This window comes from Homo sapiens, chromosome 5 (assembly GCF_000001405.40).
Source record: "Homo sapiens chromosome 5, GRCh38.p14 Primary Assembly".
Taxonomy (NCBI): domain Eukaryota; kingdom Metazoa; phylum Chordata; class Mammalia; order Primates; family Hominidae; genus Homo; species Homo sapiens.
The window spans coordinates 27,111,086-27,137,761 of NC_000005.10; the positions used below are offsets into that span (position 1 = coordinate 27,111,086).

At 36.1% G+C, this 26,676-nt stretch overlaps 1 pseudogene, besides 1 other annotated feature; it reads left to right on the plus strand.

Moving 5' to 3' along the window:
- Positions 484-587, plus strand: RNU6-738P (RNA, U6 small nuclear 738, pseudogene; annotated as a pseudogene).
- Positions 8,377-8,936: an enhancer, noted in NCBI's record as "H3K4me1 hESC enhancer chr5:27119569-27120128 (GRCh37/hg19 assembly coordinates)". NCBI's record gives its function as "activates a minimal SCP1, AML or CMV promoter by ChIP-STARR-seq in primed H9 embryonic stem cells {active_cell/tissue: H9 hESC(primed)}" and the evidence as "EXISTENCE:reporter gene assay evidence [ECO:0000049][PMID:30033119]".

Sequence of the window (26,676 nt, forward strand, 5' to 3'; positions counted from 1 at the left end):
AATTGAGCACCACCACCACACTCCCCTTACAGATAATGGAAGTGAGGAACAGAAACAGTTAGATTGGTTACAGCCTGGCATTTGTCTTATGCTAACACTGTTGTAACAGTTCATCACTTTTGGCTGAAACTTGGTGATTTGTACAAGAATAGGTTACAGTCTGTTTAAACATCCACTTCAAGTTACAGTTCACTATGTATGTAGGAACTTTTAAGCTGAACTTACAAGGAGGTTGCTTTAGGCTAAACTTAATTTAACAGTTACATGAATCGATATATGGAAACATATCTACAATTGTCTGAACATAAGTGACCTTGCACTTACGGTATAACAAATTATGCCACTTGAAGAAGGCAATGGCTAGTAAGGTTGAAGTGTCGACAATAATGGACTGCAGTGTATCTTGAAATGAACACCTATTCATTGGGAGAAGTAAAATAAATTTTTTATAAAAAATAAAACCACTAAAAAATTAAAATTTGAGTGCTCACTTTAGTAGTACATATATAAAATTGGAACGATACAGAGAAGATTAGCATGGCCTCTGTGTAAGGATGACACGCAAATTCATGAAGCGTTCCATATTTCTGGCCAGGATCATCCTGATACCAAAACCTGGCAGAGACACAACAAAAAAAAGGAAACTTCAGGCCAATATCCCTGATGAACATCAATGTGAAAATCCTCAATAAAATACTGGCAAACCGAATCCAGCAGTACATCAAACAACTTATCCACCACTATCAATTTGGCTTCATTCCCAAGATGCAAGGCTTGTTCAGCATATGCAAATCAATAAATGTAATCCATCACATAAACAGAACCAATGACAAAAACCGCTTCATTATCTCAATAGATACTGAAAAGGCCTTTGATAAATTCAATATCCCTTCATGATAAAAACTCACAATAAACTAGGTATTGATGGAACATATCTGAAAATAATGAGATCTATTTATGACAAAGCCACAGCCAATATAATCCTGAATGAGCAAAAGCTGGAAGCATTCCCTTTGAAAACTGGCACAAGATGAGGATCCCCCTCTCACCACTCCTATTCAACACAGTATTGGAAGTTCTGGCCAGGGCAATCAGACAAGTGAAAGAAATAATGGGTATTGAAAAAGGAAAAGAGGAAATCAAATTATCTTTGTTTGTAGAAGACATGATTCTATATTTAGAAAACCCAATAATTTCAGCCCAAAGACTCCTTAAGCAGATAAGCAACTTCAGCAGTCTCAGGATACAAAATTAATGTGCAAAAATCACAAACATCCCTATACACCAACAATAGACAAGCAGAGAGCCAAATCATGAGTGAACACCCATTCACAATTGTTACAAAGAGAATAAAATATCTAGGCATACAGCTAACAAGGGACATGTAGGACCTTTTCAAGGAGAACTAAAATCTACTGCTCAAGACTATAAGAGAGGATACAAACAAATGGAAAAACATTTCACCCTCATGGATAGAAAGAATCAATATCATGAAAATGGCCATACTGCCCAAAGTAGTTTATAGATTCAATGCTATTCCCATCAAACTACCATTGATATTCTTCATGAAATTAGATAAAACTATTTTAAAATTCATATGGAACCAAAAACGACCTTGTATAGCCAAGACAATCCTAAGCAAAAGGAGGAAAGATGGATGCATCATGCTACCAGACTTCAAACTATACCACAAGGCTACAGTAACAAAAACAGCATGGTACTGGTACCAAAACAGACACATAGACAATGGAACAGAACAGAGAACTCAGAAATAAGACCATACATCTACAACCATCTCATCTTCAACAAACATGACAAAAACAGGCAATGGGGAAAGGATTCCATATTTAATAAATGGTGCTGGAAAAACTGGCTAGCCATATGTAGAAAGCTGAAACTAGATCCCTTCCTTACACCGTATACAAAAATTACTCAAGATGGATTAGAGACTTAAACATCAGACCTAAAACCATAAAAAACCCTAGAAGAAAACCTAGGCAATACCATTCAGGACACAGGCATGGGCAAAGACTTCATGACTGAAACACCAAAAGCAATTGCAACAAAAGCTAAAATTGACAAATGGGATTTAATTAAACTCAAGAGCTTCTGCACAGCAAAAGAAACTATCATCAAAGTGAAAATGCAACCTAGAGAGTGAGAGAAAATTTTTGGAATCTACCCATCTGACAAAGGCCTAATATCCAGAATTTACAAGGAACTTAAACAAATTTACAAGAAAAAAAAAATCAAAAAGTGGGCAATGGATATGAACAGACACTTCGCAAAAGAAGACATATATGCAGCCAACAAACATTAAAAAAAAGCTCAACATCACTGATCATTAGAGAAATGCAAATAAAAACCACGATGAGATACCACCTCATGCCAATCAGAATGGTGATTATTAAAAAGTTATGAAACAAGAGATGCTGGCAAGGCTGAGGAGAAATAGGAATGCTTTTATACTGTTGGTTGGGATGTAAATTAGTTCAACCATTGCAGAAGATCATGTGGAGATTCTTAAAGGATCTAAAACCAGAAATACCATTTGACCCAGCAATCCCATTACTGGGTGTATACCCAAATGAACATATATCATTCCATTATAAAGATACATGCACACATATGTTTATTGCAGAACTATTCACATTATCAAAGACATGGAACCAACCCAAATGGCCATAAATGATGGACTGGATAAAGAAAATGTGGTACATATACACCATGGAATACTACGCAGCCATACAAAGGAATGAGATCATGTCCTTTGCAGGTATATGGATGAAGCTGGAAACCATCATCCTCAGCAAACTAACACAGGAACAGAAAACCAAACACCGCATTTTCTCACTCATAACTGGGAGCTGAACAATGAGAACACATGAACACAGGGAGGGAAACAACACACACACTGGTGCCTGTCAGTGGCAGGGTTGGGGGGCAAGGGGTGGGAGAGCATCAAGATAAATAGCTAATGCATGAGGAGCTTAAAACTGGATGGGTGTGGTGGTTCACACCTGTAATCCTAGCACTTTGGAAGGCTGAGGCAGGAGGATCATAAGGTCAGGAGTTTGAGACCAACCTGGCCAACACAGTGAAACCCCGTCTCTACTAAAAATAAAAAAAATTAAAAAATAGCTGGGTGTGGAAGCAAATGCCTATAATCCCAGCTACTCAGGAGGCTGAGGCATAAAAATTGTTTGAACCTGGGAGGAAGAGGTTGCAGTGAGCCCAGATTGCAGCACTGTACTACAGCCTGGGTGACAGAGCGAGACTCCATCGAAAGAGGAAAGAAGGAAAGAAGGAAAGAAAGAAAAGAAAGAAAAGAAAGAAAAGAAAGAAAGAAAGAAAGAAAGAAAGAAAGAAAGAAAGAAAGAAAGAAAGAAAGAAGGAAGGAAGGAAGGAAGGAAGGAAGGAAGGAAGGAAGGAAGGAGGAGAAAGAAAGGAAAGAAAGAAGGAAGGAAGGAAAGAAAGAAAGAAAAGAAAGAAAGAAGGAAGGAAGGAAGGAAAGAAAAAGGAAGAAAGAAAGAGAAAGAAAGAAGGAAAGAAAGAAAGAAAGAAAGAAAGAAAGAAAGAAAGAAAGAAAGAAAGAAAGAAAGAAAGAAAGAAAGGAAGGAAGGAAGAAAAAAGAAAGAGAGAGAGAGAGAAAGAAAGAAAGAGAGAGAGAACCTCAGGTGATGGGTCGATGGGTGCAGCAAACCACCATGGCACATTTATACCTATGAAACAAACCTGCACATTCTGCACATGTATCTCATAACTTAAAGTAAAAAAACAACAAACAAACAAAAGATTTCCAAATGCAGGTAAAGCCCAAAGCTGCAGCAGCCATTTTGGTGTCATGAGGGTAACAAGCCTAAAAGGGAATGCCAGCGTGCCAAATATGGTGAGCACGATGTTACATAGAAACTCTGTCTTGCATTATGTTGGTGAGGTGCTGAAATAACCAAACCAGGGGCAAAAAATGTATTTTATTGTTAACTTTCATGCAATGTTGCTGCTGAAAAATCTGTTATGCATTTGTATAATACAAATTTTTTTAAAAATTAGAACATTTTCTTTGTAATAAATAATAAAATGATTAAATTTCTTGTTGATAACTATTTTAAAATAAATAAATAAATACAATTTGAATTTGACCTGCAGGGCTTGATCTCAATTGACGAATTTGACCTGCAGGGACAAATTGTTCACTGGAAGAATCAATGAAAGAATTTGACCTACAAGGACAAATTGTTCAATTGTTATAAAATTTTCAGTATTTCTAAAGTTATGATTTATAAACATTAGAAATTAAAACTTTTACTTCATTTGTTAGTAAATATAGTTTTTAAACAGACATATTTTACAGAAATTGTTTCTAAAGATTTTCTCATTGACAAAGTGAAGAATATCTAAACTTTTTAATAATGGCTGTATGTTTAATATTAAATTTCTGTCCAGTACCTGAAAAAATATTGTGCTGTTACATTGATTGATTTAAAAAAAGACAGTATTTGATTTTGAATTGTATGACCAGAATTTACTTATTAGAATCCAGTTCATATTTTTGTATGCATCCTTACGTTGTGTTCAGTGGGACACAGAGCCTTACACCTCTTTCACGTCTCATTCAAATTATTACGCAAATGTAAGTGGCCACCTAGTCTTTTCTCTATCTTCCATTTGTAAACTATCTTACATTTTTCTGTCATAGCTATTTCCCTAAAACGAATATCCGATACGCTGTGTCATCCTTCTGTTCAAAAATCTCCAGTGACTTCCTGATGCTTACATTGTTAAAAAAAAAATAAAAATGGCCAGGTTTGGTGTCTCATGCCTGTAATCCCAGCACTTCGGGAGGGTAAGGCAGAAGGACCACTTGAGCCCAGGAATTCTAGAACAGCCTGTGCAATGCAATGAGACCCCATTTATACAAAAAATAAAAAAGCTGACTGAGCATAGTTGTGTGCACCTGTGGTCCCAGTTATGTAAGAGGTTGAGGTAGGAGGATCACTTTAGCCCAGGCAATTGAGGCTGCAGTGAGCCATGTTTAGGCCACTGTACTCCAGCCTGGGTGACAGAGTGATACCCTATCTCAAAAAAAAAAAAAAAAAAAAGTCAAAAGGAAAAAAGAAAATAGGTATTCACTGTGATAACAATGATTCTTGTGAAAGCCCAGTAAGAAAGACTATTCAGTTCAGAGTGGTAAGTATAGAGACCACTGCAATGGGATTTTGCAGTGGGGAAGAGAGACTGGGTTTCACTAAGTATGGGCAATGAGGATACAGCATGACTAAGTGGTCATTTATAGCCAAGGACAGGGTGAAGTTCAGTGGATAGAAAATTACTAAGAGGAAATATCAGAGGTCAGGGGTATTCTGGCTAAACTGACCTAGGAGGATTCCAGCTGAAGACAGGCTAGAGTGATCGGATATTACCTGGGGGATGGTGGAGAATGAAAAACCACATCCAATACCAAGGATGATCATATATCAAAGGTAGAAATTCTTGCTCAACTGATCTAGCAAGGTTCTTAATAAAACTGAATTTTACAAGGAAATGCACAGAGGATTTTCAAAGTTCTGATTAAAGTTTGGTCAAGCAAAAAAAAAAAAAAAATCTTGATGAACATCAGAGTCCAAACTCCTCGCTATGCTTGTGATCTGGTCCTGGCACATCACTAGTAGTCTCTTGTTTTGTTCTTCTTCTACCTGCATGAGTCCCTATTCCCTCCAAAATAACATTGAAATTCAATAAAAATACTTAAATTCTGGCTCCTCAAGCACACATACAAATTCACATACACACACACACACACATGCCCCACTGACTTGACCATAGTCAGCTATACCTTCTTGCTTATCAGGACACTTCTCCTTTCATCCTTTATTTGGACCACAGTGGACTCCCTGCCCATTTCCCAACATGCATATGTTTCTTCTGTCTCTATTTATTTGACACTCTTACCCTCGGTGCCATCTGTATGACTCAAAATCTTATACCTACTTCAGAACAAAGCCTACATGAAATCTTTTCAGAAGCACTTACCTCGATTATTTCTTCCAAAATTATACTCCCATGAGACTTGTTTTCAATAAACCCTTAAAATATTCTCCACTCATTACTTTTGATATTATAGTGATAAATTTGACTGCCTTGCTGATAGATTGTAAACATTGCAAAAGCAGAAATTATTCCATTCATTTTCTCTCTTCTACAGTATAATAATAATTTAAATATTTAATGAATGATAAATACAAATATTATTTATAGAAAACAATTATTATGTAAATTCTCTAGAATTTATATGAATTTAATTCACTACATTTCAGGTATCTTTTGGAAATAAATAGAATATAATTATGGAAAGTATATGCATTTCAAAGAAACTTCTTATATTTTACCTGAAGATACTGCAGTCACTTTGGCATGAATAAGAAATTAAATTCACAAGAAGACTAAAGACTATGCAAAAAATCTACATTGCGTCCTCATTATTTTATAGTAAGACGATCACAATAGGCTTTTGACTGATTTCTCCAGATATGTAGAAACCTATAAGGTAAATCCTTAACTAACTCACAGGCCAACTAACTGTTGTAACACAATGCTGTGTACCTCCTTCCACCTCCTGAATGAAGTCTCATGACTCTGCTACCTAAATCATACAGCCGCACTGAAGTACTGGCCTTCAAACCCCTCATAAGCCAGTCTGTATATCTCCAAATTGACCACTCACTACTTCTGTAAGTGAATTCTTTACTTTCAAAAATTGATCTAATATTTTCCCCATAAAATATGCCACAGATTCCTGCCTCTGCTCCATGACTTACTTCATTCCTACCACCTGGAAAGCCCTTGACTTTTCTCTCCTCTCATTAAAGTTAAACTCGCCATGGAAATTTCACTTAAATGAAGTAACCCACACTGATGCTTCTCTACCCTGAACTCTTATGGAATTTATTATCTGAACTATTAATTAGTCAAATACACAATGACTACTATGTTGCAATTTAATTTTTTCATGGAAATCCCTTTTCCGCTAAAATAAATTTTAAGAACTTTTTTTAGTTTTTTATCAATATTTTTAAATGGCTTTAGTAGACAGCTTACTAAAATATGTTTACAGAAATGTAAGTATATGAATTAAAATATCTGAGAGAATATTTTCTTTTTAAATTGTTTATTATGTGCTATTTTTGGTAGGTAGCTAAAGAAATGATGAGATATGGGCTCTGTACTCCAAAAGTTCATTATCTAATAATAAGAAGAAATAAATAAATTGAAATTAAGTAATGAATATCATAATAAATATGTATACAAGCTGCACTAAAGCTAATCTGAATAACTTTTCTTAAGTTTGGGAGGAAGAAAATGTATGCGACATTCCTCAGTGAGTCTTCAAATACAGGCTTTCAGACAGATAACATGGCAAAAACATTTGAATCAGATGTGTCAAAAGTAGAAAGACAATCAAAGGAAATATAGAAATATTTAGACCTCCCATTTTTAGTGAAGTCTGACACATAGTAGGTACTCATGAATTCATAATTAAATGAGTAAAAGAGTGGCTGATAAGAGGTCGTTGGAGGGCCCAGATAAAAATCAACTTAATGAACAGTGTGTACCAAACTCTTTGTTTATAACACATCAGAACCTCATTAGATACGTATGCCCACTTTACAAATTAGGAAACTGAAGCACAGAGAAATAACCTTGCCCCAATTAAAGATAACATGGAGAGCCAGGATTCATCCTCGAATTCATGTAACTCCAGTCATATATCTTTATTATCCATCACCCTATTTCTCGACTTGCTATTGAATTGTAAAAAAGATGGCATATGTAGGGAAATACAAACAGCTGAGTCACTATTTGTGAGGGAGGTGATTGGAGAGAGCAAAAGAGTTAGGAACGTATTAAAATGCAATAGTTTTGGTAAAAAAAATAGGGTCTAACTAAAACATTGGGAGTTTTAAAAAAGAGGGTGATGTCATACTATTTAGCTGGTAGAATGTAGAGAACTGGGAGACAGGCTGGCTGCGATGAGCAAATGAAAATGTGATTTTTAGGACAATGCCCAGGTTTTAACCTATCCCTAGGGCCGCAATGTCTTTAATTTAGGAAAGAAGTGTAGGTGGAAAAGCAGATTTAACCTGAAGAATGTGTTAACTAAGGGGGAATAGTGGATAGTAGTGGATACTTCCATATACACTGCCAAAATTTAGGTCTGTACCTCAGCAAGGTGGAATACAGAGAATGAGGAGTATATGACTCGCCTTTGAAGAAATGGGTTTGGACGAGTTCACATAGAGGTGTGGATACAGATTTTAAACAGCTTCATGATCATCTAGAGTTTAGAGGTTCTTAAACAAATTGCTAAGGAACAGTCAAAGTAACTGGTAAAAATAGAGAGATAATGGTTTCATGGAACAAAAGAGGTAGAGAGTTTCAAAGCAGAAATCCTCAACATTGTAAGCTGTTGGGATTCACTCAGGATGTTGGCAGAAATACTAAAGGGAAATATTAAGAAAAGTTATAGGGAAAAGTCCCAAACCTTTTTGGAAGGCCGAAAGGTTACATAGCCTGTAGTAATTGAACAGGCTGAAGGCAACCAGTTCTTACCTTAGAGCATTAGGTCATACTGAGAGGTGACAGCGTGCTGGCAGTCCTCGGAGCCCTCGCTTGCTCTTGGCGCCTCCTCTGCCTGGGCTCCCACTTTGGTGGCATTTGAGGAGCCCTTCAGCCCACCACTGCACTGAGGGAGCCCATTTCTGGGCTGGCCAAGGCTGGAGCCCACTCTCTCAGCTTGCGGGGAGGTGTGGAGGGAGAGGCGCGAGCGAGAACCGGGGCTGCCTGCAGCGCTTGCGGGCCAGCTGGAGTTCCGGGTGGGCGTGGGCTTGGTGGGCCCCCGCACTCGGAGCAGCCGGCCAGCCCTGCCGGCCCCGGGCAATGAGGGACTTAACACCCGGGCCAGTGGCTGCGGAGGGTGTGCTGGGTCCCCCAGCAGTGCCAGCCCACCAGCGCTGCGCTCAATTTCTCACCAAGCATTAGCTGCCTTCCCGCGGGGCAGGGCTCGGGACCTGCAGCCCGCCATGCCTGAGCCTCCCACCCACTCCATGAGCTCCTGTGCGGGCCCGAGCCTCCCGGACGAGCACCACCCCCTGCTCCACGGCGCCCAGTCCCATCGACCACCCAAGGGCTGAGGAGTGCGAGCGCACGGCACGGGACTGGCGGGCGGCTCCACCTGCAGCCCCGGTGTGGGATCCACTAGGTGAAGCCAGCTGGGCTCCTGAGTCTGGTGGGGACATGGAGAGTCTTTATGTCTAGCTCACGGATTGTAAATACACCAATCAGCACCCTGTGTTTAGCTCAAGATTTGTGAGTGCACCAATCGACACTCTGTATCTAGCTGCTCTGGTGGGGCCTTGGAGAACCTGTGTGTGGAAACTCTATCTAACTAATCTGATGGGGACGTGGAGAACCTTTGTATCTAGCTCAGGGATTGTAAACGCACCAATCAGCACCCTGTCAAAACATGCCACTGGGCTCTACCAATCAGCAGGATGTGGGTGGGGCCAGATAAAAGAATAAAAGCAGGCTGCCAGAGCCAGCAGTGGCAACGCGTTGGGGGTCCCCTTCCACACTGTGAAAGCACTGTTGTTTCGCTGTTTGCGATAAATCTTGCTACTGCTCACTGTTTGGGTCCACGCTGCTTTTATGAGCCGTAACACTCACCGCGAAGATATGCAGCTTCACTCCTGAGCCCAGCGAGACTACCAGCCCACCGGGAGGAACGAACGACTCCAGACGCGCTGCCTTAGGAGCTGTAACACTCACCGCGAAGGTCTGTAGCTTCACTCCTGAGCCAGCGAGACCACGAACCCACCAGAAGGAAGAAACTCCGAACACATTTGAACATCAGAAGGGACAGACTCCAGACGCGCCACCTTAAGAGCTGTAACACTCACCGTGAGGGTGCGCGGCTTCGTTCTTGAAGTCAGTGAGACCAAGAACCCACCAATTCCGGACACAATAGGGTAAATGCTAGGGACAATAGAGGCTTCCCCAGTTAAGTCTGTTTTCCCAACCTCCATTAACTAACCTTTGAGCCAGATGGCCCCCTCTGGGGGAGGTCTACCGGGAAAATTGCCCCCTTATGGTATTTACTTTAGACCTCAGTACCTGGACTTTAATCATTCATAGAACTACTCTCTTAACCATGTTAATTATCCACAAGTGTGTTTACTCAAAGCTTCTGTTGTTAATTCTATACTAAAATGGTTGGAGTGCGAGCTGCTCAGGGCTACGGCTGCCATTCTTTACAGCACTCTCCTTGGAGTCTGTGAGTGGCCTCGGACCCTCAGCTGGACTGGCCAAGCAGAATATCTGTGTGTCAGTGTACTTTATTCATCCATCGGCGGGTCAGGGGTCTGAAAGGGACAAACAGACCCCCCACAGCTATTGCCCCCACAACAGGAGCGCTGCCTCAGTAGGTTGTTGCAGTTTTGTTAGAAGCTGAAATAAAATTTAAGATAGAAAAATTTGGGAGGCTGAGGGGGGCAGATCACGAGGTCAGGAGATCGAGACCATCCTGGCTAACAAGGTGAAACCCCGTCTCTACTAAACCTACAAAAAATTAGCCAGGCGTGGTGTCGGGCGCCTGTAGTCCCAGATACTCGGGAGGCTGAGGCAGGAGAATGGCATAAACCCTGGAGGCGGAGCTTGCAGTGAGCCGAGATCGCGCCACTGCACTCCAGCCTGGGCGACAGAGCGAAACTCCAAAAAAAAAAAAAAAAAGAAGGCATTGGTGACATAAGAGCGATTGCAGTAAACCTAAATGCAAGCTGCAGTTGGATGTAGTCTAGCACTGATGGAATATTATTTGAAGTAGCTTGCTTGTGAAAATAGAGGGTAAAACAGGAAATTGTCCAGATCAGTATTAGTAAAATAGTAATCTCCTAAGCATCAATCAGGCCTCAAGGTGTCATCTAAAAAATAAATTTGCATCAAATCCTGACTTGGATCTGAGTTTTCCAAAGCATGACAATTTTCTGCTTTCTCAACAATTACTATTTTTTACACTGGGTAAAGTGGTCTTTCCAATATCTTAATATTATCTCTTCTATTAATACATTATCTTATTGCAATTTTTTTTGTTTTTTTTCAGAATCGGAACCCCCTTTTGCATGGACAATTCTTGTCTTAAAACATCTTTTGTTGGAGGCAAAGTCCCCTTTAAAGGCAAGGGTACAGGCACCCAACCATGTCACAATTGATTGTCTTAGCAGGCCATAAACTTTCAGCTGGGATTAGAAGCATGCACCACCCCACCCTGCTAATTTTTTTTTTTTTTTTTTTTGTATTTTTAGTAGAGACAGAGTTTTGCCATGCTACCCAGGCTGGTCTCAAACTCCTGACCTCAGGTGATCCACCCACCTCAACTTCCCAAAGTGCTGCAATTACAGGTATGAGCCACCGTTTCTGACCCTATTTTATTTCTTTTTTGAGACAGGGTCTCACTCTGTTGCTCAGGCTCCAGTGCAGTGGTGCAATATCAGCTCACTGCAACCTCCACCTCCCAGGTTCAAGGGATCCTCTCACCCTTCCAAGTGGCTGGAACTACAGGCATGAGCCACCAAACCTGGCCATGTCATTTAATTTCCATAGATGATAAAATTATGACTCAAATTAACTAATTTCCTAAAAGCTCACACCTATAATCCTAGCACTTTGGAAGGCTGAGCAGGAGGATCACTTGAGGCCAGCAGTTTCAGATCAGCTTGGGCAACACAGTAAGACCCAATCTCTACAAAAATAAAAATAAAAATTAGCCAGATGTGGTGTCCTGTGCCTGTAGGCCTAGCTACTCAGGAGTCTGACGCAGAAGGATGGCTTGAACATAGGAGTTTGAGGCTGCAGTGAGCTATGATACTGCCACTGCACTCCAGCCTTGGCAGCAGAGAACAATCATTTTTCTAAAAAGTAATAAAAATAAAAAAGATCACCTTCCTGAAAGCCACATTGTTGTACTGCATCTCCAGTACAACATAATATTGTTGTATTTGGGATCTTCAGAGTATACCAAGTTGGGATTCTAAGTTGCCCCATCAAGTTTATGGTTGTCAAAGATATTTTTGGTAATCTAGTAGGACATTGAGAGATCAGACCTTCCCAAATAGTTCATTTTTGAGACAAGGACTCAAAAATTGACAATGACTCATCCAGTTTTAAGTATATCTGAATATGCATTCAGAACCTGAACTATGTCTTCTGAATTTCAAAAACTACAGAATCTTAGAATCAACAAAAGAGCATCATAGAGTTAAATAGATGTGGACATCAAAAATTTCTAAGAAATTATACCACAGTTGGCATTATTTATTTATACCATTAAAATATATAAAATTTATAAAATAAGGTTATTTCTAAACAATATAGTCATATTTTAGCCTATTATATTTAAAATATGTAAGTGCATTTTAGAAGAATTTGATGGAGGACTAAATTTAAAACTCTCACTTTTTTCATCATCTAATATTTAAAGATGCTATGGTTATTAGAGAAATGACAATCTCTTTCAATGCATTAGCACTTAAAATATGATTTCTTCTTTCATGGTTTGCTTTAGATCTTGTGCTTCCAGAGAGATTAATCCTAAAAAGGGTAGAGATATTCTAAACCTTTGACAGCACTGCTTAGCTTGTTGTTTCTCCCCGTAGAATTTTATAATAATACACTCAATTAGCTTCTTTGTCCCAGATTTCATGGAATAATTGCTAGAATTTTATCTGGTGCTTATAAGTCACAAGTGTTTATTCTTTTAGAGAATGTTTTCTGGATATTTTAATACTTTCTATGGAAAGTAAAATATGAAATTTAAATGGGAACACAACCAATAAAAATTGTAGTTCCGTTTTAGAATTACTGCTTTACATTTAAATTAAGCATATAAAATGCACAAGATTTTCTTATAATGTTCCTATTCACATCCTCTAGGCACAATTTTACTACCAATTTTCTCCATTATCTATGACCAACATATGTTACTAATATATTTGTGATTTTTAAGCTGATTTTATTATTTTTGGAGTCACAGTTTTATTAATAAATATTTTTCACATTTATTTGCAATGCCATGTACTTTATGATTTTAATTTCAATAAAAAAGAGGTTTAGATGAAATACCTCAATGGATATATACATGCATTAACATCAAATTATATTTGCACTCGTCATTCTTGGAAAACATCAGCTAGTTGATGTTTAATAACCCTCTATAAATAAAGATTGGTTTTCAAAGCTTCAATAAACACCCCAGTCTTTTTGTACACAGGATGCCAATTTTATAAGCCATAAAGCGTAATAGGAGGTATATTTATTAATAACTAAAATGGCTTTAGGGTCCGAAATATGCCTAAATGAGAATGAAAAATATGTCCCTGGATAAAGGACCATTTATTTATCATTTATAAACATAGTTATACTGAAACATATTTTTTTTTAACTTCAGAGAGCTGGACAAAAGAGCTACAGAAATAGAAAAACGTATCTATTTCTTTGGTAGAAAAGATTACATTAACTTCTAAAGAGAATATTTTAAACTTTTGTAATTAACATCCATTTTTAATTGGTATTATTGTTGCTGTTAGGAGAAATGAAAACCTAGAGAGAGTTCAAAAAGAGATGAACTATCCCACTGTAATTACCACAACTCCCAGCAGGGGCTTCTCTCCTCTGATTAACACGACAGCAGGGTAGTCGGTCTAGCACACAGCTAACTGCCATAATCATGAAGAAAATAACAGGGATGAGAAGACTCAAAAAAGAATTTTTCTGACATCTAAAATAAAGAATCTAAACTTCTTTATATATGTTATAAAAAAAACTTATAATTCTGAACATTTCTAGGAAATACAAACTAATGACCTCAAACAACTTTAAATTAATTTAAGAGATCTGAAGGTGACTATTTCAATAAAATCAAACAGTGCAAAATTTTTTTATTCCTCTCATATTGAGAAAATATTTTGACTACCAGTTGGCTATTCTGTCGTGGTTTACTTGCATTTTTAATCAAGATGTAGCTGGAACTAATTTATTCAGTAATTCATAATTGTGTATGTTACAAACTTCTTTGTAGCAAATTTTAGTGTTTTTTTTGCTGATACATATTTATAACATTTCACAGATATTTAAACATATACTAATGTAAATACAAGTGACATTTTCAGTATAGCCACATTGCAGTTAAAATCATGATCCAGGTTAGTCTGTTATTACTTGAAACTCCATGCAAGAGGATTGTTTTTCATGTTATTGTTTGGTGTGGGTTTTTGTAAAGTCCACGTTTTCTTGAATATTTCATGGTCAATTAACTATCTAACATTGTCCTTTAGTTTTAACTATGACAGATTTAATAATACTTTCCATGAATGTTATTCAAAATATGTAATGACAGGTGAAACGAGCATTGGCCAATAGGAAAAAATGTTCAAGAAAACATAATGGGCATTGCCTCAACAACTATATTGATACCCATTGGCTGAGTTTTCAAAACTGCAGTTTCATTTTTCAATATTGATGGTTATGGAGGTAAAGTCAGGTATTATATATTACCAACAAATTCTAATGATATTCCTGAAACAAAAGTAGAAAACAAAATAAGACAAACTGTAATGTATAGGGGTTTATTGATATTTTAAGGGTCTGCATCCCCATAAACTCCAAGGAAGATGTGACTCAAACTAGCTGCAATATTATTGTTGGCTACTGTATTAGTTTCTAGGGCTCCTATAACAAATTACTACACAATGTGTGGCTGAAACAATAGAAATTTATTTTCTCATAGTTCTGAAAGCAAAAGTTCAAAATCAAGAGGTCAGCATGGCAGTGCCCTCTCTGAAGCCTCATCAGGAGAATGTGTTTCTGATTTCTTCTTACTGTCTGTTGTGAAAACCCTTGGCATTCCTTGGTTTGCAGCGGGATAGCTCTAATCTCAGCCTGCGTCATCACATGGTATACTCCCTGTGTCTCACCCTCTTGGTGTTTCTCCTCCTGTCCTTATAAGGACACCAATCATATCAGATTAAAAGCCCACCCTAATTCAGAATAACTTTATTTTAACCTAACTGATTACATCTACAATGGCTCTAGTTCCAAATTAGATCACATTATGAGGGACTGAGGGTTGAGAGTTTATTGTATCATGTGGGGACATAAGTAATCAATAAAATTTTTCAAGGTTTTATTGACCTACAAATAAAACCTTGAAGAATGGCTAGTTTTTAACTGTCACAGGCATCTTCAGAACATTAACAACTTAACAGGTGAAATTTCTAATTTGATATATTGTTAAGACAATGCATTGACAAAATTTTAATAATGACCTGTATTTGAATGCTGGATGACATCAGATGTGAATTGCTCTTGGGAATAATTTCTTCTTTACCACACTTAAGTATTCTGTCCAGGTCCTCAACATTCCCATACCCACTCAGCCATTTATAAATACTCTCTATAGAGCAACATAGCTAACTTTTAAAATTGCTTGTCAAAATTCAAAACCCATTGGAGATGATGCTTTTCTGTTTATAAATGGATTAACAAGAGGTATTTTCTAAAGGAACAACTAGATCTTATGTGGAATGGGATGATGGCTAAAAAATAACATTATTCATAGTCATTACACAGGGAAATTATATACAGAAAAGTAATAATATTATCAGTGAGATAAATTATATCTATGTATCTGTACCTATACCCATCTATTATCTATCTATCATATGATGTGAGAGAGAAAGTGATAAGGAGTGATAAGGGCATATTTCAGATCATAAGCCAAAAATCAAAAGTATTGTTCTAGGGGAAAATGTTAAAAAATAAGTAAGAAAAAATACCAAAGTTATTGAGGGTGCTGAGTCAAAATAAATAAAAATGAAAAAACATAGAAAAAAGAATCATGATAAGGATAAAAAAAAAGCTGAAATGTGATACAAAACAAAATTGAGGACAGGTGGAGCAAACTTTTTTATTTTTTTAAGAGAAAGTGATGCTGGTCATAAGATGTTAAATTTTACCTAATTACTTTCTAAGAAAGACTAGATGCCATACTTGTTCCAAGCTATGTGACTAAGCTTTATGATTACACAGTGCACATCAGCTGCAATCAGCCCTCAAAACTTTAATGAGAACTCTAGTTCAGAAAACAAGTAGTTTTTTAGAGGATGATGAAAATTAAAATAGAAGAAGTGCAAACTACATAAAGCAATCATCTTAGAAATGAAGAATTTTGCAAAACATCAACAGGTGCAAATCATGCATGATGATATGGAATCACATTGAAATAATAAATTATCTTCTAGAGAGGAAAAATAATGATTTTTATAATGATAAATTTTCTGCATATTTTGTTTCTGACACACATTTTCACGGAAACATTTTCATAATTATGTACAGACTTCATTTCAATCAAGTAGAGGTCTTTAGCCATGGCTGTATACTTGGAGAACATTTTATAAATAGCGGTTCCTGGGCTTTAGCTAAAGGCATTCTGATATAACAGAAGAGAGTGCATCAGTTTTAGAGTTTTATATTATTTTATAATTTATTATTTACATATAATACTGCAAAAATAATATTTTGGTTTCATAATTTTACTGTAATTGCATCAGGCATAATAGGTTAGTTTATGCTACCATAACAAGAACCACAAATATTTCAGTGTTCTATCAAAATAGGGTTTATTTCTCTCTCTCAAAGTTCAAAGTAAGTCCAAGCAAATCTTCAATTAACTGTCCTCCATGTAATGGTTTGGTATTCCAAACAGCATCGATCTGTCTACATGTCTATCTATATGGGTTTCCAGGCTCATTGGTGAAGAAGTCATGGACATTTACAAATATTTTAAGTAATTGATTCCCAAATTTTGATAAAGTGTCTCCATGCACGGTCCATTGGTTAGAAGTAGTATGACTCCACTTAAGTATTAAAGACAGTGTGGACTTATCTGGTCTAATTTTATGTCTGGAAAGTTTTCTAGTTTATAATATGAAATATTAGTTTCAGTACAATAATTTAGTTTTCTTCTTCAGGGAAAATAATAATGCAAAAGTTCAACCTCATTTGTCTTTCTTCCATTTCAGTCACTTTTGTTCTGGTCCTTTATAATATTTTAAACATCTCTGATTTATTCTCTTGATTGTTTTCCTGCCTTGACTCAATAAGCTTTAATAAGGGCTCATTCAAATAAATCTATTATCTCAAGGGCATTTTCTGATGTTGTCTTTACATATGATATTATTTTATCTTTTACATATATTTCATGATTTTAGTGAACTTTTATTTTCTTTAATGAGTTTTTATTTCTCTTTTGTATTTTGATTCAAGGTAATATTTCATATTTTTATTTTGTTTTGATGTAAATTTCTGTTTGCAATGTTGATTTTTTTTTCAGTTGTATAGTTTGTGTATTATTGAAACTTTCTACTAGCTGAACATTTGTGTTTTGCCATATCTAACTTTATACAGAAATTTTATGATGTCTACCCTTTTCTACTCTTTCTTAGCGGCGAGTGAATTCCTTCTTCTGGTATTCTGGTATTTCTGCTCTCTTCTGTCTATTTTCTTTCATGGTTGAGAGAAGGAGAAGAGAGAAAATAAGTTGGTGGTGTTATTCTCTTTCATCAGCTGTAGAATACTTACTTCAGTAGGATACATACATTTCCCCTCTATTTTCTTTATTTCTTTCATGACATCATCTCCGAAGTACACTGCCTCTTCTGAATCTGGTTCTTTCCAAGAAAGATCACTTTTCCAAACTGCCACTTATAATTCCACACATTTTTAGTCTTTTACTTCATAATGAAGTCTAAGAATCTCTAAGGCCCAACCCGTGTTCAATAAGTTTATTCTTGTTATTTCACTTTCTCTTTCTGAGGATGATGTAGTATGCCTCCTCTAAGCCCTCTGCTGCTGGCTGTTCTTGATCATGGAGTCTCTTCAGGTCTCCCCTTTCAAGCTCTCTGTACCCACAATCTTAGAGCAGACATGAGATTATGGTGGGTCTGCAGTTGATATTGCTTTTCCCATTTCTATTATTTAAACATTATCTAGAGTTATAGTGGTCTCTGTCTCCTAGTGATATTGAAAGTGTGGGCCCTATGGGTTATTATTTGTTGCCCTTGATTTTTTTTTCATCATTTCAGGAAATAAGGGAAATATTGTCATTGCTCTCTAAGCCCAGATGTCTACAACCAGGAAAATGTCATTTTAATTGATGATTAAAACTGGAGGAAAATTATAAAATTAATATATAAGCAGTAAGGTTCTACATGGTTATTAATGTTTAGTACCAAATTTGGTCTTGAGTTTCTCACAATATAAAATTTAGTCAGTTAAAAGATTTTTACTGTTTGTCAGGAAAAATAATACATTTTATACCTCAGAAGAAAAATGCAGCCTTACAGCACCTAAATCTGAAAGAAATGTCTTACATAAATCTTATACTGGTTATATTAACACAGTGACAATAATCTCTAGAGAAATTCTTTTTACTCATATCATCTATGTCATAGAATTTATTTATAGGATTGAATTGAGGATATATTTTTAGTGTCCAGCACTAAGCTGATAGTGAAACACTTATAAGGTTTTAGCTACAGTTAATTATTATTAACTCTAAGAGTAATAATAGTAACTTATAGAATTTGATACTGTACTACCTCCCTGCCTCATGGGCTTGTGATGTGCCACTTTTAGAGCTTTAGCAATGAGTCTGCTTAGGATAGCCAATCAGCATATTCCTAGCTACATCACCCAGAGACAGATTCAATGTGTTGTAGGTAAGCAAGTCAGCAAGTGATGACCCCTACGTCACCTACTTTCTGATTGGAGATTTTTTTTCTTCTAAACTTAGATGATTTACCTTATAGCCCTGAACTTGTATATTATTATCTTGCACCCACAAAGATGCAGTTCAAAGCTGAAGACAAAAAAGAAAGATGCAAAGATGTCAAGGCTTTGACATTAATACCACCTCAAAACAGCTGAGAATTCCATCCCAAAATGCTGACATGAGTCAGTAAATTCCAACACTGATGGAGCCATTTCTAGCTAAGTTTTATGTCCACTTGTATGTAAAATAATCCCAAGTAAAACAATAAGAATGTAATGGTTTTATTCTCAATATAATTTATGGGCTTAAAACCAAAGCATAGCTCATATAAAATAATTGCTTTAAAGGATGAATCAATAACTTTCAAATATTCGGGTTTTTGGTATGACAATCAAAACTCAAAATTATATACCCAAAGATATTAGTGAGAATAGTGTTTTTCATAAGTGTTATCATTTTAAAATGCATGGACACGTGCACATGAATACATATGATTATTAAAATATATAAACGTAACAGAGAAGAAAGTAAATAATTTCTGAAAAATTCACAAACCAGACAAATTTTACAGGATATAATGTGGTGCACAAGTTTTAAAGATTTAGTTTATTTTAAAAAAAGTATATACGAATAGAGATTTGCATATATAATTTTATTTCTAATGTTATGTCATAAATGAAATTTCAAACAACTTGTTCCCTAAAAAATGGATTAGTTTTTATCTATTCAAAATAAGAGTACATCCAGCTGGAATAGGTTAAGAGTCATGGATAAATAGTTGTGTCAAGTGGAGGGCTATTAATTCTGTTACTCATAATGCTAAGATTAGATGTGACATCAGCCTGGAACTGACAACAATAGTTCAATTGCTAAGAAAGCAAGAGCTTCAAGGATAAAATTACTGTGAAAAATAGAAACAGTGACCAAACACTTAAGTAAACTCATGCTAAGAAGACAGAAGAATGAGAATGACAGAAAACTATACCCAGCATTAAGCAGCTAGCAAGGGATAAAATGAAGCAAATACAGTTTTCCTTCTTTTTATTTTAGAGTAAAATATGACATATATAATACTTGAGTACATGTTAAACTCTTAAAAATACACAGATTTACTGTTATATACGAATATTGGAGAAACCATTTCAATCAAAAATGAGTTACAGAGTAGCTTTTATTTTACATTAATATACTGATGTCTGGGAAATTATAGTAGTTTTAAATTAAGATTTGGTTATTTCATGTCATATTTACTGTATAATTTCAACACATGATTGAAAATATACATTATATGTGTATACTTTTTCTTTTTTTTTTTTGTTTGAGACAGAGTCTCACTCTGTTGCCCAGGCTGGAGTGCAGTGGTGCAATCTCGGCTCACTGCAAGCTCCGCCTCCTGGGTTCACACCATTCTCCTGCCTCAGCCTCCTGAGTAGCTGGGACTACAGGCACCCGCCACCAGGCCCGGCTAATTTTTTTGTATTTTTAGTAGAGACGGGGTTTCACCATGTTAGCCAGGATGGTCTCGATCTCCTGACCTCATGATCTGCCTGCCTTAGCCTCCCAAAGTGCTGGGATTACAGGAGTGAGCCACCGTGCCTGGCCTGAATAGACTTTTTCTACTCAGTGCAATTTCATTTTAAAAATTAGCCATTGAATAATTTTAGTGGTTTGAATTTTAGAACACTTTTCAATTAAAAATTAATAATCAGAAAATACAGTTGGAGGATGCTAAAAATTCATCACATCATGAGGCATTTACTATGCATATAAATATCTATGTCTTTGTCTAAATCCTTGAAAGTATTTACAGAATACCAAGTTAACTAGATCTTATTCACAAAACACACTTTTGCATTTAAGTCACTATGTTTATATGAACAAAAAAATTGAAAAAAACGTTCTAGTCTGTTCTCTAACAACTATAAAAAAGGACTCAGGGGTACTTGTGCTTTTATTTTAGAGTTTCAATCTCACTGGATTAATGAGAACTATATAGAAGCATTGGGAATTTTTTCTGTGGTTGTTTATATATTTTTTATTTGTTGTCTAAATTTGTTCAAATAGAGACAATGAGAATCAAGTAATTTCACATCCCAAGTATACACAAAGGAGTGTTCAGTGCTCAGAACAATAAATAAGAACTACTATCTTCCTCTGTACTGCCATTCCACATGTTGACAAGCCTTTGGAATAAAAGAATAAAACTCTTCACATATAATTAGTCAGTACAAATTGATGAAAAAATTAAATAAAATGGGTTCTGCTTAAACACATGATCATCAATCTATAATTCACTCCCTCATCACTGATTTATAAATGTACTGAACTAATCAAATCAACTCATCCTCCCACACAGCCCTTAAGGGATAAAGGTGGCCTCGAACTTGCATGAACCTTTTTAATGTGGTTGCTTTGTTCAGTCATACTAAAACATGTAGAGAATGAAAGGGTTTTTAAAGCCTTAATAGAATGATCCTGAAGATATTTTTAAAACATTTAAACCAAATTTTCTGTGTAATGAATTTGTAGATCAAAGGTTTAATAAATTATTTTTATTAAATTGTTGATGGGGTTGAATATAAAGGAGATAGTTTTTAATAATAGAGTTGTCATGACTTGATAAATTGGAGATAATGTCTATCTATCGCAAAGATTTGCAATGCAACCCAGGAAAAAATGTTTAATTAGAAAAGTTTACAAAGAAAAGAAAAACAAAAAAACTCTTTAATTAGGGAGCCCACCAAAGTTGTAAACTGTGGGGTACATTGCTCTTTTGATGTTACTTTACATAGTAGAATAAGAAACTAGTTAGCCATGGAGATATATAATATATATAATAGTGTACATTATATACTATAGTGTATTAATATATATATTACTATATTATGTAAATATAAAATAATATATACCATACAAATATTAATATATAGTATTATATAAAATATATTTTATATATCAGTATGGCTAGTTTCATCTATTATATGTATATATTATCTCTGTTTCTCTTTATATGTAAATATAAACATCCCTACATTACACATATTACTACATATTTATTTTAGAAATATGTGTGTATTTATTTATTCATACAATAATTATGTGTGTGTGTGTATATATATATATATATACACATACGCATACATACAAATATCTTAAAAAGGTAAAGCTTTAGCCCATGCTATTTGTTTTAAAAACTGACTCACAACAAGCCATCTCAAAACTAGTTGCTTAAAGTAAGTATAATTTATTATCATAGATCTATGGATAGGCTGAATATTAACTACAGTAGATGGATATTAGCTGGAAGGTGTGTTGATGTTAACCATGCTTGTTTACTCTACAGAAATTGGATGTTATTTTTTGAATGTGTTTTTCCTCCCCTTTCTGTGTCACGTGAACTTGATCTGACATGTTTTTCTCATAGAAGCAGCAGAGGCATAAAAGAGAATAGGTAAGGTGAAAATTCAGAAATGGCCTGCCATTATTTCCGTCTTATTTTAATGTCCAAGGTAGGTTGTATGGTTGAATCAAAGTCAAATGGAAAGAAAAGCAATTTTATCACTTGGTCAAAGGGCATGGGAAACAGATCCAAGTGGGTGAAGCATTGAGGTATTTAATGCAGTATGACTGACTTGAAATAACTGGTCTCCAATTCTCTGATAAGTAGATATAAAAATTCAAGTGTTTTATTCTTTCAGCTTCCTCAGCTTTCTTACTTTATCAGCCTGTGTTAATTCAGTTGTAATTATCATAAAATTTGCCCATTCCTGTAACTGAGATTAAAAATTAATTTTGATTTTTAAGAAAAACAGAGTGAAATGTACCTGTTTTGAAGAGACTCTGACATCTTGCTGTTCACAATAATAATAGCTAATAGTGAACACTATATGTAGCAAGAAAGCCTACAAGTGCATAATTTTATTTAATTCATTCAATGTAGATACTATTATTACTCCAATTCCAATTATTCACTAACCCAGTTCTCCTGTTGAAAAATAAGGTACAGAGAACAGGTTTAAAAAGTTGACTAGGTTACCATGGTTAAGAATCATCAGACTCCTGTCAAATCCCAGGACTGTTTCACATCAAAGTCTATGCTTTAATGATCAGGAAACACCTGCTCCCATGAACAAAGGAACAGGAATCAGTGGATGCACATCTTCAGTGAGGTTTAATGTATAACACATGAGTTTGGAATCGGCCAGTCTACCTTTGAACTCCAGAGGTACCTTTGAAACATTCCTTAAGCTGTCTGGATTTCCTCCATGTGATAATGAGAATAAAAATACTATCTCTACTTTAGAAATTCTTTAAGATCACACGAGATGCTTGTAAAATATTTAGCAGAGCTTATGACATGGGTAAAATAAGCTATTATTATTATTATTACTCAGGAAGCAGATTTGAAATCAATGTAAACAATTTATTGATGAAAAAGATAAAATTTAATATTGTTTACTGTTGTACAACTGTTATTAAACCTTTTCTCGACTGCTTTATTGTCTCTAACTTTCCAAAAATGAAACTCTGACTTTATGAAACTTTTCTTTACTCTTTTAGTCATGTTTTCCAAGTGACCCATTTTCTACCAGAGTTCAAGATAAGACTCTCTGAGTCCTTGTAAGACTATCTGAGGCATTTGTCCACAGATCTTAGGAGAAGAAATTATGTATATCTTGCACAGAGGTCCAAAACAAAAAGTAATCTTAGAGTTTGGGATAAAATGTAGTGACAGAGTAAGCCAGCCTACAGAGACCAGAGATAGAGAGAGAAGGACAGAAAGAATGATGGCAACATTGGATACCATAATCCAGTCCTTCATGAGACCCAGCTGTACCTCTATACTTTCCATGTCTAAAAATCTGAGACAATAAATTTCTCTTTGCCAAAGACAGAGTTGTATTTCAATTTTTTGAAGACAAAGATCTTTAACAGAAACATAGATCATTGCCTGAATCTAGAGTCCTAGGAAATTCATAGATTAAACATGTGGGGAGCAAATGGGAATCCAGGACAAGAGATGAGTAATATCAACCAGCAAGTTAGGAGAAAAAGCAAAGAAGTGATGAATCCAAGAAGTCAAAAAAACGAGGAGAAAGTAGTGATAAACACAAAGACATAAATATATGGGGGCAGGAATCATGAAGTTTCACCTATTTTCTGTCTACAAAAATGAGAGTAGTTTTGGTAGAGCCATAGATAAAAAGGGCTAATTTGAACAAATTGTAATAAAGTCAGAAAGCAACTAGAAATGATGGTAATTATCAACAATTTCAAGCAGTTGTTCTGCAAATATGAGCAAATAAATAGTATTATATTTAAAAAGTAAGCAAAACATAGTTTCTTTATGAGAAACTATGTAGTAATGGAAATATTATAATAGAGAACATTTGATTACATGGAAGGAAGACAGAAGAATTGCAGAAATGACACCCTTGAATAAATTAGGAGAATGAAGTGGAGTGACTGATGTTTGATAGAAGCAAATGTATTTCATCGATTGTTTCAGGAATTAATGCAGAAGAATCTTTTCATCTTTGTGTGCTAATAAATCTGAAAGACTTAAAATACTGCAAGCACATATTAATTACTTGGTGGATATCTGTTTTGTTAATTAATGGCCATGGAATTAAAACTGCGGAATGAGAAATATGAGACATCAAGTAGAAGAGGGAAAAAAAAAAGTTAGTAAGATGAATGAAATGGAAGTTTTAAGAGATTTGAAGTTTTGTTAGGTTTAGGGTGATGAAGTAAATTAGAAGAATTGGTGGTCAAAGTATAGAATTCAAGAAACTGAGATCATGGAGGTGATGTAGTAATTAGTACCACAAGATCTAGACAATGAAAAAAGCCTAAATAGATTATGGCTGAGATAAAGACCAGAACTTTAGGGAAATGGAATTCAAGGATCTGCAGTGCCAGAAGTTGGAAGCATCCTCCAGGTATTTATTGCAATTACAGAGAACTGAGGTAAGAATACTATGTTCTAAAATCATTGAGCTGTGGAGGAGAATAAATCTGTGGGTTGTGGATGACAGCAACAATGAAGGCTAGTGAGTGAAGAAAAATAATAATACACATGAGATTCAAACTGTATTAGTCCATTTCACACTGCTATGAAGAACTGCCTTAGACTGGGTAATTTGTAAAGAAAAGAGGTTTAGTTGACTCACAGTTCCACGTGGCTGGGGAGGCCTCAGGAAACTTACATTCATGACAGAAGGAAAAGCAGGAACAAGTGCCTTCTTCAGAAGGCAGCAGGAGAGAGAGAGCATGCAGGGCAAACTGCCACTTTTAAACCATTGGATTTTGTGAGAACTCCCTCAATATCATGAGAACTGCATGGGGGAAACCACCCCCCATGATCCAATCACCTCCTACCAGCTCCATCCCTCAACAAGTGGGCAATACAATCCAAGATGAGATCTGGGTGGTGTATTAGTCTGTTTTCACACTGCTGATAAAGACATACCTGAGACTGGAAAAAAAAAGAGGCTTAATGGACTCACAATTCCACATGTCTGGGGAGGCCTCACAATCGAGGAAGGCAAGGAGGAGCCAGTCAAGTCTTACATGGATAGTATCAGGGAAAGAAAGAGCTTCTGCAGGGAAATTACCATTTTTAAAAACTTTAGATCTTGTGAGACTTATTCACTATCATGAGAAAAGTGCAGGAAAGACCCTCCCCCATAATTCAATCACCTCCCACTGGGTTCCTCCCACAACACATGGGAATAGTGGGAGTTACAATTCAAGATGAGATTTGAGTGGGGACAAATCATATCAGGTGGGAACACAGAACCAAACCATATCAAAAACCCAAGGATCGTCAGGAAGGAGAGAGGAGGAATGCCCTGAATTTGGAAATACTATCTAAGAAAAGGCCAGGCACAGTGGCTCACACCTGTAATCCCAGCTCTTTGGGAGGCTGAGGCAAGCAGATCATGAGGTCAGGAGATCAAGAGCATCCTGGCTAACATGGTGAAACCCTGTCTCTACTAAAAAAATACAAAAAATTAGATGGGCGTGGTGGCACATGCCTATAGTGTCAGCTACTCAGGAGGCTGAGGCAGGAGAATTGCTTGAACCTCAGAGGTAGAGGTTGCAGTGAACCAAGATCACACCACTGCACTCCAGCCTGGGCGAGAGAGCAAAAATCCTAAATAAATAAATAAATAAAACCCAGATTTGTTTTGTGAAGCTGTGAGAACAAAAAACGAATATTACTGACAGGCCAGCAGTGGAAGCCATGTCCACAGGAGAGATCCATGTTTTCATCAGAAAAATAGTTTGAAAGGAAAGATCAAAGAATTTGATCTCAGGATGTAAAATAATTCCTCTGGAACAGTATAAGGATGTCAGGAAATAGGATGGTAAGAAAAGAGGAAAAATAGGGATTACAGAGCTTTAAAAGAGATTGGATTTTGGACCATGAAGTGTGACTGAGGCTGGGTGGGTTTTGGGGATACCACAAATAAGGAAGAAATAAATAATGGGACTAATCCCAGCAAATTTACCACACATTGTGTTGGAGGGAGCCTGGATTTAGGGAGGAATTGTCTGGATCCTCCCTTAATAACTCACAAAGGTGGGAGTTTTGTACTACAGTTGACTTGACCTTTATTCCTAGCCCCTTCTTTCATGGCAGAACTCTGTTAGTAAGGATTCATGTTACACTGAATCACTCTTCACACTGATGATAAGAGTAGACTGAATTGAAATTGAAGGATGAAGGCTCTTTATTTCCATATACAATACTTTTTTCATGTCTATTTTTTTCCTCTGCCAGAAAAATA